Source organism: Homo sapiens, chromosome 3 (assembly GCF_000001405.40).
Source record: "Homo sapiens chromosome 3, GRCh38.p14 Primary Assembly".
Lineage (NCBI taxonomy): Eukaryota > Metazoa > Chordata > Mammalia > Primates > Hominidae > Homo > Homo sapiens.
Genome location: NC_000003.12, coordinates 138,436,127 through 138,455,342, shown reverse-complemented (window position 1 = coordinate 138,455,342; position 19,216 = coordinate 138,436,127). Strand labels below are relative to the sequence as shown.

The 19,216-nt window shown below is 48.8% G+C and overlaps 1 protein-coding gene across 8 annotated transcripts in view, besides 2 other annotated features; it reads right to left on the bottom strand.

Moving 5' to 3' along the window:
- Positions 1-19,216, bottom strand: part of ESYT3 (extended synaptotagmin 3) — a 47,071-nt gene that overhangs the window by 26,344 nt on the left and 1,511 nt on the right. For 7 of the 8 annotated variants that reach the window (NR_136409.2, NM_001322831.2, NM_001322834.2 and 4 more), the window contains exons 2-3: positions 3,254-3,295; positions 15-149 (exon numbers count right to left, since the gene is read on the bottom strand). Coding sequence is in view for 7 of the 8 variants with exons in the window: in NM_001322831.2 (NP_001309760.1) it covers positions 15-149; positions 3,254-3,295 (177 nt within the window). In the remaining variant the exon portion in view is untranslated. Of the gene's footprint in view, positions 1-14; positions 150-3,253; positions 3,296-8,331; positions 8,337-19,216 lie in introns of those variants that run through there. The other variant, XM_017007307.2, reaches the window with a different exon arrangement.
- Positions 14,092-14,872: an enhancer, noted in NCBI's record as "H3K27ac-H3K4me1 hESC enhancer chr3:138159313-138160093 (GRCh37/hg19 assembly coordinates)". NCBI's record gives its function as "activates a minimal SCP1, AML or CMV promoter by ChIP-STARR-seq in naive H9 embryonic stem cells {active_cell/tissue: H9 hESC(naive)}" and the evidence as "EXISTENCE:reporter gene assay evidence [ECO:0000049][PMID:30033119]".
- Positions 14,873-15,652: an enhancer, noted in NCBI's record as "H3K4me1 hESC enhancer chr3:138158533-138159312 (GRCh37/hg19 assembly coordinates)". NCBI's record gives its function as "activates a minimal SCP1, AML or CMV promoter by ChIP-STARR-seq in naive H9 embryonic stem cells {active_cell/tissue: H9 hESC(naive)}" and the evidence as "EXISTENCE:reporter gene assay evidence [ECO:0000049][PMID:30033119]".

Sequence of the window (19,216 nt, the reverse complement as noted above, 5' to 3'; positions counted from 1 at the left end):
CGAGACACACCCACCTTCTGTCCAAAGTAGAGCTTGGTAAAGGTAAAGGTCCTCAGGTGGATGCTCTTCTCTCGGATCTTGGGCTCAAGTTTCTCCCGGAACTTGCTTTCCATGATCATGCTTAGGTAGGGCCAGGTCTGAGAGATGATCTGTGAAGACGGGAAGAGGCTCTTGGTAGTCAGGTCTGTACCCCCACTGCAGACCCACAGCTGCATGGGACAAGGTCCTGATTCTCTGCAGCCTGGTCTTGGGGTGGGGGTTCCTATGCTGCAGCACTCACCTGCTTGCCTGCCCACCCATCTGCTCACCTGTTCATCTGTCTGTCCGTCAAACATCTGATAACTACAGCCGTGGTTCCCACTGTCATGCAGGCAGCAGGACCCCAAGATTTGGTGCTATTCCGCAGAGCACCAAGAAATACTCATTCACTACATTTATTATTAGAAAGCCCTTTAGTTCTGTGCTAAAACATAATCTCATTCTACACTGTGGTTTAAACAAAAAGTAGCAGATGCCAGAAGTTTAAGAAAAAAATTACAGAAGAGAAAGTTAAATTGTTTCCTGTGGATTTCATTTTCTAGCAATCAGAAAAGGCAGCCTTTGCCCGATTTCTGCAGCAGAATGACTCACTGTGCTGATTTGGGAATGAAGTGCAGGACCTGGGGAGAAGGAAGATGGCAGAGACAGGGGAGGATGGTGGAAATCAGAGGGGAATGGAGGGCGGGCCAGCCAGCAGGTACTTTCTGTTTGGGGCAAGGCTTCTCCATCTTCTTTTTCTTTTTTCTCAAACGGAGTTTCGCTCTTGTTGCCCAGGCTGGAGTGCAATGGCACGACCTCGGCTCACTGCAACCTCCACCTCCTGGTTCAAGTGATTGTCCTGCCTCAGCCTCCCAAGTAGCTGAGATTACAGGTACCTGCCACCACACCCAGTGAATTTTTTTAATTTTTAATTTTTTTTTTATTTTTAGTTAGAGACAGGGTTTCACCATGTTGCCCAGACTGGTCTTGAACTCCTGGCCTCAAGTGATCTGTCCGCCTTGGCCTCTCAAAGTGCTGGGATTACAGGTGTGAGCCACAGCACCTGGCCTTCTTTTTTAAGACAAGGTCTCACTCTGTCGCCCAGGCTGGAGTGCAGTGGCATGATTACAGCTCACTGCAGCCTCAACCTCCCAGGCTTAGGTGATTTCCCACCACAGCCTCCTGGGTGGCTGGGACTACATGCGTGCACCACCACGCATTTTAATGTTTTTGTAGCGATAGGGTCCCCCTGTTACCCGAGCTGATGGATGTTGATCCAAGATTGCTATTTTCACATTACCAGACGTGTCATTGCTGAGTGCATCAAAAAGCATTCCCTAGCCAGGCATGGTAGCACACAGCGGGGTCACAACTCCTTGGGAGGCTGAGGCAGGAGGATCGTTTCAGCCTAGGAGTTCAAGGCCAGCTTGGGCAACAAAGCAAGACTCCATCTCAAAAACAACAGTAACAGCAAAAGAACAGAGAACATTCTCAGCCTCTGGGTAAATTTGGAAGAAGCAGGTTGCTGCTTTAAGAGGAGTGACTGGGTTTCTGGGGATTCATGCAGGACCCAGCGCCTCTGGGCAAACCTTGTAGAGTTCCTCCTGCACTGTGTTAGCTGGTTCATGCACCTCTGCCTGCGTTACATCTTTCTTTCAGTAATACACAGAGGCCTACACAAGGCGTTGGAGATACAAGACTGTATCTTTCCTGTGGGCTTGGGCTTCAGTTTAAATATGCATTTCCTTCCTCCATGTGCCCCTTCCAAAGCCATCATTGGAGGAGCCTAAAGGCTGTGAGATTTTAGGGCTCATTGTTCCCATCTCTCTCAAAGGCCTCTCCAAACCCCAGGTTCTACTTTCTTGGGTCTGGTCTCATCTTCCTGTCTTGCTGGTTTGTCACTGGCCAAGTGCCTCCTGAGTTTAAAGCTTGTTAGGACACACTCGGTGCCCTAGTATGTGGTTTACCTACACAACTGTCTCTGTCTCCCCATCCAAGATGAAGGTGGGAGCCTCATATCCCAACAGTCTTATATCTCCAACGCCTTGTATAGGCCTCTGTGTATTACTGAAAGAAAGATGTAACGCAGGCAGAGGTGCATGAACCAGCTAACACAGTGCAGGAGGAACTCTACAAGGTTTGCCCAGAGGCGCTGGGTCCTGCATGAATCCCCAGAAACCCAGTCACTCCTCTTAAAGCAGCAACCTGCTTCTTCCAAATTTACCCAGAGGCTGAGAATGTTCTCTGTTCTTTTGCTGTTACTGTTGTTTTTGAGATGGAGTCTTGCTATGTTGCTCAAGCTGGCCTTGAACTCCTAGGCTGAAACGATCCTCCTGCCTCAGCCTCTCAAGGAGTTGTGACCCTGGTGTGTGCTACCATGCCCGGCTAGGGAATGCTTTTTGATGCACTCAGCAATGACACGTCTGGTAATGTGAAAACAGCAATCTTGGATCAACATCCATCAGGAAGTCCTTTCTTATACCTAACCTAAGTCATTCCTGCTACGGGCTAAGCCTCCTCCCAGAGGCAAGGTTTGTATTAGAAACATTCCTCAGTCAGGAGATTTGAGCTGGGGACTGCCGTGGAGCCCTCACAGTTAGGGACAGGTCTGGGCAGATCAGGGAGGGGCAGGCCTCCAGTTCATCCTCCATGAAGTCGGGATTCCTGCTGGGGAGGGCTCGGCCAAGGGTCATCATCCAGCAGGAGCCTCCTTGGGACATCTGGCAGCAGAGCCCAAGGGGAGTTCCCAGGGGTGACCTAACAGCAATTACAGTAGTGATGTCAGTGAATCGAGCCAGGGCAAGGACTCTAATTATTCCCATTTTACGGATAAGGAAGCCAGCTCAGAGGTGTTAGGCAGTCTGCCCAAGACTGCACAGAAATGCTGTTGGATCTAGGCAGGAAACCAGGCAGTGTCCAGAAGCTGTTGTCTAATTAATGTCTTCCTCTCCCTAGGAAAGTACAGCTCCTGGCCTGGTGAGCTAGTGGGGATTGTACTTTTCTCTATACTTCTCTGTATTTTCTAATTTTTCTGCTGTGACCACGTATTAATTTCAATTTGTTGTTGTTAACAAAAGCGAGCCATTCTGGTGAAAGAAGAGGGAAAGGGAGCATCCCTGCCCGCGTCAGGCAAGGAAATTGCCGCGAGGCCCCCATCAGGCTGTGGGGGTGACAGCCGCGGGGAGGACGAGGCTGGCATGCGTCCGGCCCTGCTAGGCCCTGCCAGCGGCCTTACCTTGTTGGCCCACTCGACCCGCTCCACGTCCGGGAAGTGGATCTAGGAAAGAAGCCCCGAGGGGAAGTTAGACTAGAAGCCGCACACCCGCTGGGAACCAAGCAAGCCAGCCTGGCGGGCTTCCCATTCCGCCCACGCGCTGCACCTCAACCCTTCCTCCCCGCCGCCTCCACGTCGGTCACAGGTGCGCTCTCCGCACCCACTCGGCGTCCAGCCCTGGCAACTCGGAACTGGTCCTGCCCTCAAACAGCGCACTATCCAGTGGAGCAGGCAGCAAATAAACAGACAACGAGCTGGCACCGATTCCGCAGTGCAGCCCAGCTCCAAGGCTCGCGTGGGCGTTTCTGGGCACGCGGTGGCGGGCAGGACAGGACTCCACGCGGTTTCACCCCTCCCCTCCACCCCAGTCCCACGCGGAGGCCGAGGTGGGAGAGGACATGGAAGGCGAGGAGGAAAGGGAGGGCTGGAAACTGCTTGTTTGCACACGCAAGTAAATCCCCACTCCTGGGGAAGCACAGGACCCCCAACCTGGAAACCCCCAGGATAACACAGGTTGCTCCTTGCAAATTCCATCCCCCTTATTCGTTTCAATGACACAAACAATATGCAGTCTCCGTAGAAAAATTAGAAAATGCAAACATCACCTAAACAAAAAGAAAAAATATTAGGGAATTCTACCACCCAGTGATAAGTACTTAACAGCTTGATGTTTTCATAGACAACTAAGGAGTGGGGTGCTGTGGGGCGCCCCTCCCACCTCTGCCCACCTTGGCTCCCAGAAGCCCCTCCCAAGCCTCCTCCCTTCCCCTTAGGCCCTTCCTATAGTCACATAGCTTCCAACTACGGGGTCACAACCCCTAACCACTCCAGCTCCACCTGCTGGGTGAACCCCAGTGTGGGAAGGGGGAACAGTGGAAGGTGAGTGGAGTGGAGGGACAGTCCTGTTGGCTGACCTGTGCATGACATAATTCTGAGAGTGCTTAATCCCCCTCCAGGAGTCTCAGTCTCTGCATCTGTCTGCTGAGCTTCTCATTCCCCCAGGGGTTTTCTTACAGAGGAGTAAGCGTGGACATGTACAGGGTACCTGCACAAAACACTGTTCACCAAAACAGCAGCCACAGCCACCACTGTGGCCATGCCCCAAGTCCCCTGAACATGAGGCTGGCTTGGGGTCAGATTCAGAGTGGGCCTGGGACCACCCACGGTGGGGAAAAGGCATGCCCCCTCTATCTGGGAGCTCAGAAAGGCCACTGTTCTGGGACTAAGTAGATGTGTCCCTGCAGTTCGCACACCTACCAAATGCCAGGTCCTGAGCCAGCTTTGGGGTTGCCCTAAAGACTCAAACACATGCCCTGGCCTGCAGCACTCGTTCAGGATCACAGCCATTCCCAAAATAGGGGACAGAGAAATTCAGTTCTCCCGGAACAGTTTTTAACAGCCTTGATTGGTCAGAGGAGTTCAGTGCTTCTGAGACTCTTGGGACACCATTCTCCCATTCTCTCTTGGGATACTATTCTCCCAGCCTCAGTTTCCCTTGCTCTGGGCAGTGGCCTATACTAACTCAGAAAAGTTTATATTCCCAGGTACGGAAGAGAAAATACGGCCTGGTTCCCAGAGGTGCAGCTGGCCCAGCCCACAGAAATAGAAGAGATCGATGCGGGAAGGAATTGTGGGGAGAGTGGGCAGGAGCTCAGTTCAGTGGGAGTGATGCCACCTGCTCAGCAAACATTCTCTGCAGCTACCCTGGGTCTGGTCTCAGCTGGGAACCAGGCAAATGGAAGGCAAGACCTTTCCGTTTCTTCCTATTACACTGCCCAGTACTAAAGTAGAAATTACTGCACATGGGCCTAGAGAGGAGACCCAGCTCATGTCATGGCCTCATCGCCCACTCCCACCGGTCCCTTTCAATCCAACCACCTTTACCTTTTCTGTTCCTACCAAAGGCCTGCATGTGTCATTTTGTGTGTCTGAAACAGTCCTCCCTACTCCCCTTTGATTGATTCGTTCGTCACTATCTTAGACTTCACTTGCAGGAAGCCTCTCTGGGTGTCCCAAGTTGGGGATAAGTGAGGCAGCCTGCTGGTTCTCCATTGCAGCATTTGATACACTTTACTAGAGCTGCCTGGTCTTGCTGCCTACCTCCCTACACACTGGAAGCTCTAGGAGGGCTGACTGGGCCTCACCCCTATTAAAGTCTGTTTCTAACATATGAAGGTCTTAATAAATATTTGTGGAATGAATGAATGAAGCATGGCCCTTGCCCTCAAGGAACTCACAGGCAGGCAACTAACAGATCACTCTAATACAGAATCAGTACTAAGGTGGGAAGAGGGAGCATTCTCAGAGGAACTTGCTGACCTCACCAGTAGCTGTCCTCCTTCCAGCCCAAGCATCACACTTCCCATCCCACACCTTTGGCCCGGGTTGTTTTGTGACTTCAGGAGCTGAGTAGTTCTGATCTCTCGACCCCGAAAGGTGATCCTGCTTGGTGGGTCCAACCCTGGCCACTCTTGGGAGTTAGTCAAATGAAGATTCCTGAGCTGCCTCATGCCACTGAATCAGAGTATATCAAGGGTGGGGCTCACCAACTTATTTTTCACAAGCTCCTGGTATGATGTTGGAGTTCAGTCAGGGTTGGGATCAATGACCAGCCCACCCCTTGCCTCAGGGTGACCCACATGCATCCTGAAAATGTAGGAAGCAAGGCCGGGAACTATGTCTCATGCCTATAATCCCAGCGCTTTGGGAGGCCGAGGCAGGTGGATCACTTGAGCCCAGGAGTTTGAGACCAGCCTGGCCAACATGGCAAAACTCCATCTCTACTAAAAAATATAAAAATTAGGTGGGCATGGTGGCACACACCTGTAATCCCAGGTACTCAGGAGGCTGAGGCAGAAGAATTGCTTGAACCCTGGAGGCACAGGTTGCAGTGAGTCGAGGTCACACCACTGCACTCCAGCCTGGGCCACAGAGCAAGACTCCATCTCAAAAAAAAAAAAAAAAAAAAGAAAAAGAAAGTGTAGGCAGCAACAGAATGACCAAGGCCCACAATGATTAAGCTGTCATGGTTTCTCTCGATTGCCCACACCTGTATTTGAGGCTCCTCACCAAGAGGCCCCATCATGGATGAGTCTGAACCCCATGAAGAAAGCAACAATTCAGTCCAAGAAAATAAGAGACCTCAATTCTCCTACCCTGCCTAGGGACCTGAAGCCCCTCCCTTAGCCTGAATCTCAACACCTGCCTTCACTCCCAGTGAGCCGAGGTGCAAGAGCCAGACTACATTCCTTGTGACTGCCCCTGAGTAAGTTTGGAGCAGGGGATGAAATCATAGAGACTGATTCTTAGGGAGCAATGACTCATCCTCAGTGCTTTCCCATTTTGACATCGACAGATCAATCTATTTTTCCATTATAATTGGTCTTTTTTTGGAACTTGAAGAAATCTTTTCCCACCCCACATTCTCAAAGTTACTCTGGATTTTCATCTGTTGGCTTTCACGTTTAGGTCTTTAATCTCTCTGGATTTTTTTACATAAGGTGAGACAAAGATACAATTTTTTTCTCCCTCCATACTTTCACTAAGGCAATTTTCAACCAACACATAAAAAAAAAATTGCATCTTTTTCCTTGACTTGGGAATCTACTTCACTCAAAAACTAGCTCCTCATATGTACTTTGGTGTGTTTCTGGACTTGCCATTCAACTCCATAAGTCGGCCTGTTCCAGTACCACGTGGTTTTAATCACTGTGTTTTTGCCAAATGACCTGGGGTAGGGTGAATCCCCTCCCCTGCATTTTTTTTTTTTTTTTTTTTTTTTTTTAGATCGAGTTTCATTTTTGTTGCCCAGGCTGGAGTGCAATGGTGCAATCTCGGCTCACTGCAACCTCCACCCACTGGGTTCAAGTGATTCTCCAGCCTCAGCCTCCCGAGTAGCTGGGATTACAGGCACCTGCCACCACGCCTGGCTAATTTTTTGTATTTTTAGCAGAGACAGGGTTTCACCATGTTGGCCAGGCTGGTCTCGAACTCCTGAACTCCTGATCCACCAGCCTCGGCCTCCCAACGCGTTGGGATTACAGGCATGAGCCACCACACCCGGCCGCCGATTCCCCATTTTGCTTTTTCTTTCTCACACTGATTTAGATAATAGTAGATATTTATTGTTCTGTATGAATTTTAGAATCAGCTTGTCAATCTACAAAAAAAAAATCCTCCTGAGATTTCAATTGTTATATTTTTTAAATTATAAGTTAACTTGTGGGCTGACACGGTTAAATATTACATCATTGACACCCTTTATTTATTCACATTTTCTATTCACATTTAGGATCAAATTTTCCAACTCTTTTTCTCTAAAAGTCCTGTATATTTTTTGTTAGAGTACTGTGTGGCATTTCATTTTCTGGGCAACTTTGCTGAAATTTGTTAATAGTTCTAATTGTTCATTGATTCTCCCAGAACTCTTTTTCTTTGATTTAAATCTGTTGGCTCTTTTATGTTTTTAGAGTTGAACTTCATGAGTTTGGGGAATATCATTTATTTTCCATTTTTGTTTTGTAATAAATCAATTCAAAGGTATAAAATCCTCTAGTTTTTGACACAATAAATTGCTATTCTGCTCTCATTTTTCTATTCCCATTATGACTTCCTCTTAATGAGTTTTCAAAATAGTAATGTTTTAAAGTATCTAGACATGTGAGATTTCAATAGGTATATATTTTTGCTGTTTTCTAATAATAATTTTATTTCTTTGTGGCCTGAACAGTCTGTAGGATTGTCAATTCACTGGAATATGTTGATAATTCCTTGTGGCCTAGTACATGATTAATTTCCATGACTATTCCATGTGTGATCAGGTTATTAATCATGTCCTTCTAATATGCTTTATCCTTGCTTAGTCTTTGCCTGCTTCATTTATCATTTTCAGAAAGGGATGTATTAAAAGATTCCAAGCACAACTGTTGATTTATCTACTTCCTCATGTCGGTTGTTGATTTATATTTCAAGTTTATATTCTGTAATACATATATGTCTGTGATTATCATAATTATTGAGACAAGGTCTCACTGTGTCACCCAGGCTGGAGTGCAGTGGTGTGATTTTGGCCTACTGCAGCCTTGACCTCCCAGGCTCAAGCAATCCTCCCACCTCAGCCTCCCGAGTAGCTAGGACTACAGGTATGCACCACCACGCCTGACTATTGTTTGTTTGTTTGTTTGTTTTGGTAGAGACGGGATTAGGTCATGTTACACAGGCTAGTCTCAAACTCCTGGGCTCAAGCTATCCGCCTGCCTTGGCCTCCCTAGTAGCTGAGACTACAGGTACATGCCACCATGTCTAGCTAATTTTCTAATTTTTTTGTAGAGATGGGGCTTTGCAGTGTTGCCCATGCTGGTCGTGAACTCCTGGGCTCAAACCATCCACCTGCCTCAGCCTCCCAAACTGTTAGGATTACAGGTGTGAGCCACCATGCCCAGGTATATCATTATTGCCCTTTACAAGCATATAACAACCTTCTTTGTCTTTGAGTTCTATTCTATTTTGTCTAATATGACAATTGCTATCTCAGCTTTCTTTTGTTTCAAGACTTGGCCAGTTGCATATTTTCCATCCTATTTTCAACCGTTTTGAGTTCATGTCATCTCATGTCATTTAATACTCACCTAATCCCTTATTTGCCCCATTTTACAGATAAGGAAACTAAAGTTCAGAGAGGTTACATGACTTATAATCTCCAGTAGTGGAGTGCTAGAACGGAGACCCAAGCCTGGGTCTGTCTGACCACAGAGTCTGTGCTTTTCCACTTCGTCCACTACTCCTCCTAAGAAAACCTCACACAGCATCATGTAGGGGTTTTATAGAAACCTCTTTTACAAAGTCTGGGATTTAGCAGGCAACTGCCCTTATGGGGCTTTAGCCCTGATTGGTAGAGGCCATGCCTTATGACTTACAAAGGGCATTCCATAAACACTTTCATTTGATGCTCCCAACACTCTATAAATCATTATTCCCCTTTTACAAATGAGGAGACTCAGAGACTAGTTAGTACTTAAACAAGATTACCCATGTGATCAGAACCCAGATCTCACCTGCATATGATTTGAGCCTAAGCCTCAAATCTTCTCATCCATTTCCTCTCCTCCCCATCCTCCACCTGAAATGTCAGCATTTGAAGTCCATTCCTTAGTGTTTTTCTAACCTATTCCTTGTGTATTTCAAATTCCACCTCTCTAAGCCTCAGCTTTCTCATCTGCGAGATGGGTACAATACTGCCAACTTCACAGTTCCTGAAAAGACTAAAGGCATGGATGATGCTCGGTATCCTTCCTGGATCAGAATAAGCGTTCTGGAAGTGGTAACTTTTGCTGGAAGTTGTACAGACCTGGGAGGTGCAGGCACTCTGACCCCTCTGACCTCAAGTACGTGCAAGAACAAGGTCACCTGAGCTATGTGTCCAGTTCTGCCTCACCCAGAGCGCAGCAAATTCTCTGCTGAGTTTCCTAGTGCCTCTGGCCACCACTGCAAGGCGAGAACAGAGAATGAGGAGGATTTACAACACAGTGCAAGTGGTTGAGATGGAAAGAGGAACACGGTTGGTGTTTCCCTGGCCTCGCTGACTGGCCCAGGGATCTGTGGCTCAGATAAAGACAGCCGCAGAGAGCTGGGCCCAATGCCTGTCAGGCGCCCATGTGAAACTCTGCCCAATGGGGGCAACTGCATAGTGAAGCTTGGCAAACGCACCCAATCTGAGCCTCTGCCTTGTGTCTTTCCTCACTAGGGAAACAAAGAGAGGCTGAAAAATAAGATGAGTGGCTCACACTGAACTGAGCCCTAAAATCACTGAGCTTTTGTTGCAGTTCCCCACGAGGCTGGGAGTCTCTGGGACCAGCTAGTGGGGAGTCACCCACACCACCTGGCAGTGCAAAGAGCTCTGCAGCGATTCTCAGACTTCTGTGTTCAACAGTCCCACCTGGAGAGCTCGCTACAGTACAGCTGCTCGGTCAGGGCCCACAGAGATTTTGATTCCAGAGGACTGGGGCAGGAGCCTGGAAACCTGCGTCTTTAACAAGCTCCTGGTGGTTCTGATCTTAGCAGAGGGTGTGGAAGAATGAGTGGACAGGGCTCCCCAGGCTGGAGGGCTTGCTCAGGCCCTGGAAGAAGGTGGCTCCTCTGCCTCCGGGGGTTCCTGACTAAGTTTGAAAGTCACAGCCTGGGTTTCCAGCTGTCACTCCTAGGAGAACACTGCTGTGTCACCAAATTCATATAGCAGCCTTCAGACCTCAACTCCTTTATAAAGGGAATTCTTCCACAAAGAGCAAGGGGAGGCCAGAGCCAAAAGGCAAAAAACAGAATATTATGATTTCCCTGGCTCCGGGCCTGCTCTGCCCTCTAAAAGGTGAGCCACCCCCATCTCATACCTGCTTTCTGTAGCCAGGCAGGAGGAAGAGAAGGAAGTGCGCCCAGGGACTTAGAACACAGGGTTTTGGTCTTAACTCCCTTCAGCCTCAGGTTTCTTGCTGATTAATAAGTGGGGCTGTTAATTCCTGTTCCTCCCAGATCCATGGAAACAGTGGACTTCTAGATGGTTTGGTGTTAGAGACAAATCCAGCTCTCTAGCAAGCTTCATCTCCATAAAACATGTACACTATCCTCACTGATGTATTATAGGTGAGAACATTTCCCCAAAGCAGGCCTGGAAAATTCCAAAGATGCCCAGACACATGGTCAAGTCACCAGGATCTCCGACGTCTGCTGTCCTCCCCGCACTACCTGTCAGAGAAGTTTAAATAGTTCACAACCCTCCACCCTCCCCATCTGAGGCCTCCGTAAACTAACATACCTCTTGATGCTGTTAGTGTACTTGAGCCGACGCATTCCAGGCAAAGTGATCTAATATTTTAATGACAGTGTTTTTAGGCATTTTCAAGGGAGTAGTGGTGATGAGAATTTAGAGAGAAGAGGTAAAGCAAATTCAAGTCTAAGTAGAATTCCATGCTAGACAGGCCACCAAAGAGGCCCACATCAATAATCCATATTTAGGCGGTGATGTCTGTGCATTATTTCTTAAGCCCTCTAGGAAAAATGATTCCACAGCAGTGAGGAAATGGAGCCAGAATGACAGCTGCCTCCCATCGGAGCCAAGGTTTTGGTGGGGTCCACACAGATGGGTCTGGGGTTGGGGTGGGAGGCCTTGACAAGAGCTTGGGCCACCAGACCCTCTTGGGAGGCGGAGGGACTAAGGAGCCTCACTTAAAGGGCCTCCCTGTCATTCGATGAATTCTGCCAGCTCCCTCGCACAGGGTGGCAGCTCTCCCATGGAGCAGCCATGTCACACACACACACACACACAGATGCACAAACACAGATGTGTGGACACACACGCAGACACACACAAACTAAACAGACACATCCGCAGACTCACACGCATGTGCAAAGACACACACAGTTTCCTAAAATTAGCCTCATGGCTCTTCCCTACTCCAAAGGACATTCTTACAGACAATACACCCCTGCTAACTAACTGCTGAGAGAAGACCCACTCATTCTGAGTGTCCTACAGAGATGTCCTACAAAAGGAGGCCATTGGACTTCAGGCTGGCTCCTGTCTTCCCAAGATCAGCTGCTGCTCTGTGGCTGCCTGTTCAGTGGTTCCTGCTTTACAAGCCAAGTGGTCCTTTGATGTCACTTTTCTCCTGATGCGCAGACTTTGTCCTTTTTTTCCTCTGTTCTTGGAAGGCAAACATTTAACCATTAAAACTACTTTTAAATCTTCCAACCCTTCTGCTTTAAATTACCCAGCTCAAGTACTTTGAGGGAAACAATTGCTTTGCCAACTTGAAAATCTGTCTGGCACTGTTCTGTAATCCACAGCTCCTTAACACACGCAGCCAGCAAACTGGCCTAAATCAGCTGAACCCAGCAGAACTGAGCAGATGAAATTCCACTAGTCACAGTGATGAGAACACTGACACTGAACACTGTCACTCTTTGCTAAGGAATAAGGGCTCAAAGCAGAGGGGGGTGGCCCTGAGCTGTCCACAGAGTAGTTTTTTAAAGGGGACCTAAGCGATGATAGTAAGTTCAGAGAGTTCAATGATCCAGTTAGGGTTGGTAATTCCTAGAAGTTAAAAAAACTTATCCTCTTGCTTATCAAAATAGCAAAGGCCCCAAAAGATAATATTCAATGCTGATAAGACCACAGTGAATGGGCAAAAGTGTCTTTAAAAATCTTCATAAACTTCTAGGAATCATACTAATTAAATTGAGAAATGTGGACTAAGATTTACACGGCAGGCATTCACTGTAGCATTCATTCAGCAGATTTCTATTGAGTCCTTACTATGAACTGGGCACTGAGCTAGCAGCTGAAGCTACAGATATGTACAAGACATACACCTTATCTTAAAAGAACTTTCAGCCTGGAGGAAAAGTTAGCCATAAAAATACGTAAGTTACAAATCAGTCTGGGAGGCAGAGTGACAGACACATGCTCAGGGCCCTGTAGGAGCCCATGGACAAGAGTCCTGGGGGTGGGGCCTGAGCTTGGATTTGAAGGATGAGTCACAGAATCTAGATGCACAGATCAGAGGGAGAAACTGCGGACAGAGGAACCACCACCCACCTCCGCTAGCCGTGTGACCAGGAAAGCCTGGAAGTAACCAATATAATCAATGTTAGAGAAACAATTACACAACTTGTGGTATATTCATATGAAGGATATGATCGTCCTTAGAAGTTTGTTTGGAGAATGTAATATAATGTTAAGAACATAAAAAATCAGAAAAGAAAAAAGTACAAGTTTTTAAGAAACTGTTTTCATATATTTTCTATATAAAGGAAGCACACCCAAACATACTGTATCTCTGGGTGGAGGGATTATAAAATGCTTATCCTAATTTTAACTTTTATGCCATTTCCAAATATTCTCCAATGAGAATGTTTACTTTCATGACCAGAAAAAAAAAAACACATTTTTAGACATTTTATAACCAGTTATGTTAAAAAGTAAATACAACATGGGCAAAGGAATAGAGTGGGTGATTCTGGGGTCTTGAAACATCCTATAGCCTAGACAATTTCCTTGGCTTTTTGTTCTGAGATTTCCAAGGCTCATGACTCATGACACTGGCACAGGGCTTCTCGGCCTGCCCTCCCACAGAGATAGGGCTTATGGGACCTGAGTTCTGCATCCCTCTGTGGCCTGAGGAAATCAAGTCTCATATCCTTAGCTTGAAATATACAGCACCTTAAAAAAAAAAGGTGCTTTGTCTTTTTAATAATTCTCAATGGGGCAGAAAAACATCTTAAATCCCTCTTCAATATTTGCAGTCGAGGAAGAAGAGGAGGAAAAGGAAATCACTTGCCTCAAGCACATGTGAGCACTTTTGTGCTACAAGCTCCAGGTTCCCAGAGAATTAGAAATCCCTGAACTCTGCTGGGAGTAGTGGGAGGGGGAGGCGAAAGAGCAAGGCAGGCCAGGTCTCAGCCCCTGCTCCCTGAGGTAGCTGGGTTGTGGCCCTCCCAGGTCTTCAGGGGGCAGCTCATACCTCCCAGAGCCCCCTCCCCAAAGTCACCAGAGACATTCCCACAGAAGTGCCATCTCTGCCTGCCACCAAGACTCTGGGCCAGGACCCAGTGGGAGCCGGTGACCATCTCTCCCCACCTTCCTGCCCACTGGAGAGGGGGCTGCAACACAGGACAAAAGGGTCTGTCCCTACTCATGGCCCTGATCCTCATCCACCATGTGACCTCTCAGTTACTCAGGGCCTCAGGCCCCTGGCTGAGAAAAGGTTGCCTGGACACTCCTGGCCCAGAAAGATTCAGCCCCTTGTAAATGAAGCAGTGAGCAGTCTCATGTGAGCGCAGGTATTATACATTGCTGTCCCAGAATCTGCTCACCCCAAGATGCAATAATGAGCTCAACTGACCTAACCTGTGAAAGACTGTGGGCCGAGTCCCCAACTCCCTACCACAGCCAGCAATACCACAGTGCCTCTTCCTCCAAGAAGGCTTCCTGGGCCACTTCCAGCCAAGGATAGAGCCCCTCACCCATGCTTTCTCAGAGCCTCAGACTTGGAGCCACCTCAGAGAACTGATCATGCTCTATCAGAAGAGGCTGCCCTTGCAGGTCTGAATCTCCATCTAGCTCATGGGTTCCTCAAGGGCAGGGGCCATGTGTACTCATGCTGCCCCGCCTGCAGCTCTGTGCCTGACACACTGCAAGTTCTCGATAAATGCTTGCTGAGTGAGTATAGGAATGAACACATGTATGCCTAAGATCCCTCTGTTGGGCTTGGAGGAAAGAGGGCCCATACTCTGTCACTCATATTGCTCAATCCTGGCCCAGGACATGATAAGTCCATGAACCATCATTAAGACATGGGGCAGAAACCCCAAAGGCATGACTAAAAATTTATCTGCCTCTTCCTTCCCGAGGACAGGCCTGACTCCAAGCCATTTGAATAACTTCACAGGGCTGCAGGGACCTCAAGGGTAAGAAGTCTCCCTAATTCCAAGCAGCACCCAACCAGTCCTGATGTTTAAAATCAGGTTCCACGGCCCTGGCTCCAAGCATCAGGCTTTGTGATCTAATCTGAGAGTGCCCAGGCTAGCTCAGAGCTGTCACTGCATTTACTTCCTCTAATTAACTGAAGTATCTCAGGACAGACCCTGAGAGCCTGGGTCCTGGAACGACTGCTGCTCCAACCACAGAAAGAATGTCAAGCTCTCAGCACTAGGTAAGCAAAGCACTCAGCCCTTGGCTGTCTGCCTGAGTGGCTGGCAGGGAGGCTTGGAGGGAGCAATCCCAGGGACCACTGCTCTGCGCCTCAGAATGCCCATCGCTTTGTGTGAACGGCTCACCTTTTTCCCCTGGTGCTTGCTTCTGCCGGCAGCCCCAGTGCGCACCCAGTTAGATGGGGACAGGCATGAAAGGCAGCGAGTGGGGTCCTGTGGGGTATGTGTCACCAGAGAAAAGCAGGCTCGGGACTGGTTAATGATGGCAGACCCTACAGCTATGAAGACTCTATAGAACATCTCCTAAAATGTCATGATTTTCAGAGAAATCAGAGGCCCAGAGAGGACAAGGGGCTTCCCAAGATCCCTCCATGAATGACTCCAATGACTTCCACTACTTCACATCACGACCACCTCACCAGCAGACACACACGAGTTAACTGCCCCTCACAAAGCTGCCAACTGATGTAACTGATGGCTACCAGCTGAAAGGAGAGCCAGCCTGGCTAGAAACCACAGATAGACAAAATGCCACGTTTTCTCACAGCTCTTTCTCTTCTCTACACTGCCTCAGGCTATTTTCCTACTACCGGCTCTCATTCCCCCAACCTGGAGCAATGTGAGGATTTTGAACTTCCCTCCTCACAGGGGCCCAGTCATGGCAGGGGCAAATCAATATCTGATAAGCAACCCAATCATCCAGTTGAAGCACTGATCAATGGCTGAATGAGTAACTGGAAATTCACGGGTCAGTGAAGGGCTGATCTGTGCACAAATCCAGGAGTGAAGGCTGCAGAGCTCCACGCAGGGGCCCCTACCAAGGGAGGTGGGCAGGGAAGCAAAGCAGCAAAGGTTACCCCAAGAAGGGTCTTAGGAGCCCAGAGCACGAAGGATGGGCTCTGAAGATCAGAAGGCAGCTCTAGCGCGGGCAGCACAGCCGGGACTCCGAGAACCCACAGGAGCAGGCTCCAGGAAAAGCCAGGGTGCAGGGGGTTCCACAGAAGTGCTCTGCGCGTCCCTTCCACTCGCTCCACCCCTTGACAGTCATCCAGATGCTGGAAAGACGAGCTTACCACTGGGACACTTGGGCATTCATTTCATATTAGGAAAAGGTAGTTAGGAAGCCCGGGAAACAGAGGAACATAAAGGGACAGCCCCCACTGGGCATTCGCTTGTGTCTGGCTCTGTGCAAGCAGCTTTTCAAACAGTCGACTCACCACGACCATGTGTGGCAACAAAGCTTTTGTGGCTTGCCGAGGCCTACAATTAAATGAGTAATATCAAGGGCTCCGTGCTTGTCACTGTGCTATACACAGTCCCTACCCGACAAGGACAGCTGAGGCGGCTCTTAATTCCTTCAAAAGTACACATAAACACTGTGTGAGAGGAGCATCCGCATGTAAACATGCAGCCTCTTGAACCCTCTGTTCAAGGGTGAGCTGCGGGGGCCACCCTGCCTTCTTCCCCATGTCGTCAGGCCACATTCACAAGACAAAGGGGACCCACAGGTTCTTCCTTCAAGGCTTCTAGTAAGGAGAATTCTTCCTTCCAGCTATATCTCCCATGGCTGGGGACCTGGAGGAGAAGCAGGATTGTCTGAAGTTTGACTAGAAATCAGACATCAGGGCCAAAATGACTCTGAAAGACCATCCAATACAACCTCCTTTTACAGGTGGGGAAACAGGTTCAGTCAGGGAAAGCAAATTTCTATGATCACCTGGAGGTAGCATCTTGGAGCAAAATGTTGAGAAGGAGTCTAAGACCAGGCAGGAAAGTCGTGCATGACTGAGGACTGGCTGACGATGGCTGCCTTGGATGGCAGTGGGGAAGGATGGCATCCCCGCCTCAGCTCAGCCAGGCCTTGGCCTCCACTCCTTCACAGGGAGTTGGTGCAAATTAGAAAAAGGTGCCCCATCTAAGCAGCATACAGCTTGACAAGCAGCAGGTGGCCGGATATCCATCCCTCCCCACTGGGGGCTAGAGTACAGGGCCAACTCACACGACATGCAATGCAGGTCTGAGTGTGGTGCCCTTGAGCTGCTCAACTTTTCTTCAGTCCCCCAACTACTGATTTGCCATCTGTTAACTTACAGAAATATTTCTTGATACCAAAGGAGGTCATAAGCCATCATCCTCTCTTTCACGCAGAGAAATCAGTTCTCCAGAGGGAAGGCATGCTAAAAGGTCAGCATGTGATGATGAAGAGATCCATTCATCCATGCCCAAAATCTTGTGCAAGGGGCCGTGCTGCCCCCACCACGCCCAGAGCCCTGTCTCTCTTTGCCTTCACAGTTTGTGTTCCTAAAGAGGCAGAGAGAAGAATATTCAACCAGGTAGACTCCAGGTTTTCCATATCATCACTGGGCGTGGAAACCTTCACGAGGCGGGTGAAAAGCCCACACCTGCATCTGTTTGTATGCACTTCACAGGTGTTCATACAGGCAACCAACCTCCCCAGACCTGTTTCTCATCCTGGAATCCCAATCGCAATAATGGTCAACAGCTCCCTAAACCAGAAAGCACCCTGAAGACCCCTGGATCCCCCTGCACCCCTACTCTAGAGGCCACCACGCATCTAAAGTCCCACTCCCACGCATCTCCCACTCTCCTCCCTCATTACTACCATCTTGGCTGAAATCACCTTCCCAACTGGCCTGTCTCCTCCAGCCTTCCTCGTCCCACCATGCTGCTTTCTGAAGGGCCTTTCAGAAGCATCCAAGGCTCCTTCCAGCCTTCAGAACAAGGCCAGCCTCCATCAAGTCTGCCTCAACTTGACCCTGTCACACATCAACCCCTACCACACACTTCAGCCAGGCCCAGCACACAGCGCCCCCTCATGCAGTGGCTATGTCACACCTCCATGCTGTGCTCACCACCTCCCTCGGCCAGAATGCCCTGTGCCGCACCAGTGGCCCAGTCCAACAGGTTATCCAGGCCCTGGTCCTCCAACCTGGCCAGACAAGCCAGCCAGGCGAGTCTGCAGAATGCAGGCTGAAGCCAGCCTTTCCCAGGTCCTTGTCAAGGAGAAAGGGGGCTGTGATTCGGGGACAATATGATATGGAAACCTGGTAGGGTGTCCTTCATACCAGGCCTTCTACCTGACTAGACCCTGTTCCGACTCCTGGCTCCAATTCTCCTCAATGGCAATGACCTGTTATGCATCTGTCCCCCACCCGAGACTGCCTTCTTGGTAGGACAGAGAGCATCACCTTCCTCTGAGTGTCCCTCTACCCAGCTGGGTCAAGCCTGGGATATGGGTTGTGGGGTGAAAACCTAGGAGGTGCCTTCTTGAGTTCAGGCTGAGCTCCCTGTTGGCTAGGTCCATATTGCTCCTGGGGTCTGTATCCCCAACAGAGGCCAGAACTGTCTCTGTGGTGTATGTGGGGGAGAGGCAGGGAGGGTGTCCACGCCCCTACACGATCTGATTTTTGACCCAATATCGGATATACTGCCTTTACATATAGCTCAGTGTCTAGAGGCTTCCCTGATACAGAAGGGGAGAAAAGAAGGGATGTTACTTGGTGAAGACTCGCAGGCCCACCCTCATGGGCTAAGGCCATCAAGGGGGACAAAACAGAGATCTGACAGATGGCCTGGACTCCCTCAACTGTGTGCAAGGGGTGTGGACAGGTCAAGCCTGCTGGGTCCACACCTTTCAGAATCACAAGCCCCACAGAACCATCAGGATGACCAAAGTCTGTGGGAGTCAGGCCCCATGCGCTACCCCTATGGCTACTACCGTAGAAAAGTGTGCACCCTTATCAGGAAGAGTCTTTGGCCCCTCATCCCCCAAATATGTAAGCTATTTGCAAAGCTTTACCATCAAATCGTACATTAAATATTAAGTGTTATGAAGTGTATGCCCACTTTGAAGTGCTAATTCTCAGTTCTTCAGAATGTGATTCTATTTGCAGGTAGGGTTTTTAAAGTGGTAATTAAGTTAAAATGAGTTCATTAGGGTGAGCCTTAATCCAATATGACTGATGTCCTTCTAAGAAGAGATTAGGACACAGAAGGAAGACGGTGTGAAGACGGTAGGAAGACAGCCAGCTGCAAGCCAGCAGAGGCCGCAGGAGAAACCAACCCTGCCAACACCTTGATCTTGGACTTCGGGGCTCTAGAAAGGAAAGGAAAAAAGTGTCTGCTGCTTAAGCCACGCAGCCTGTTGTACTCAGTTATGGCTGACTGATACAGTAAGACTTCATTTCTCTTATAAGATAAACT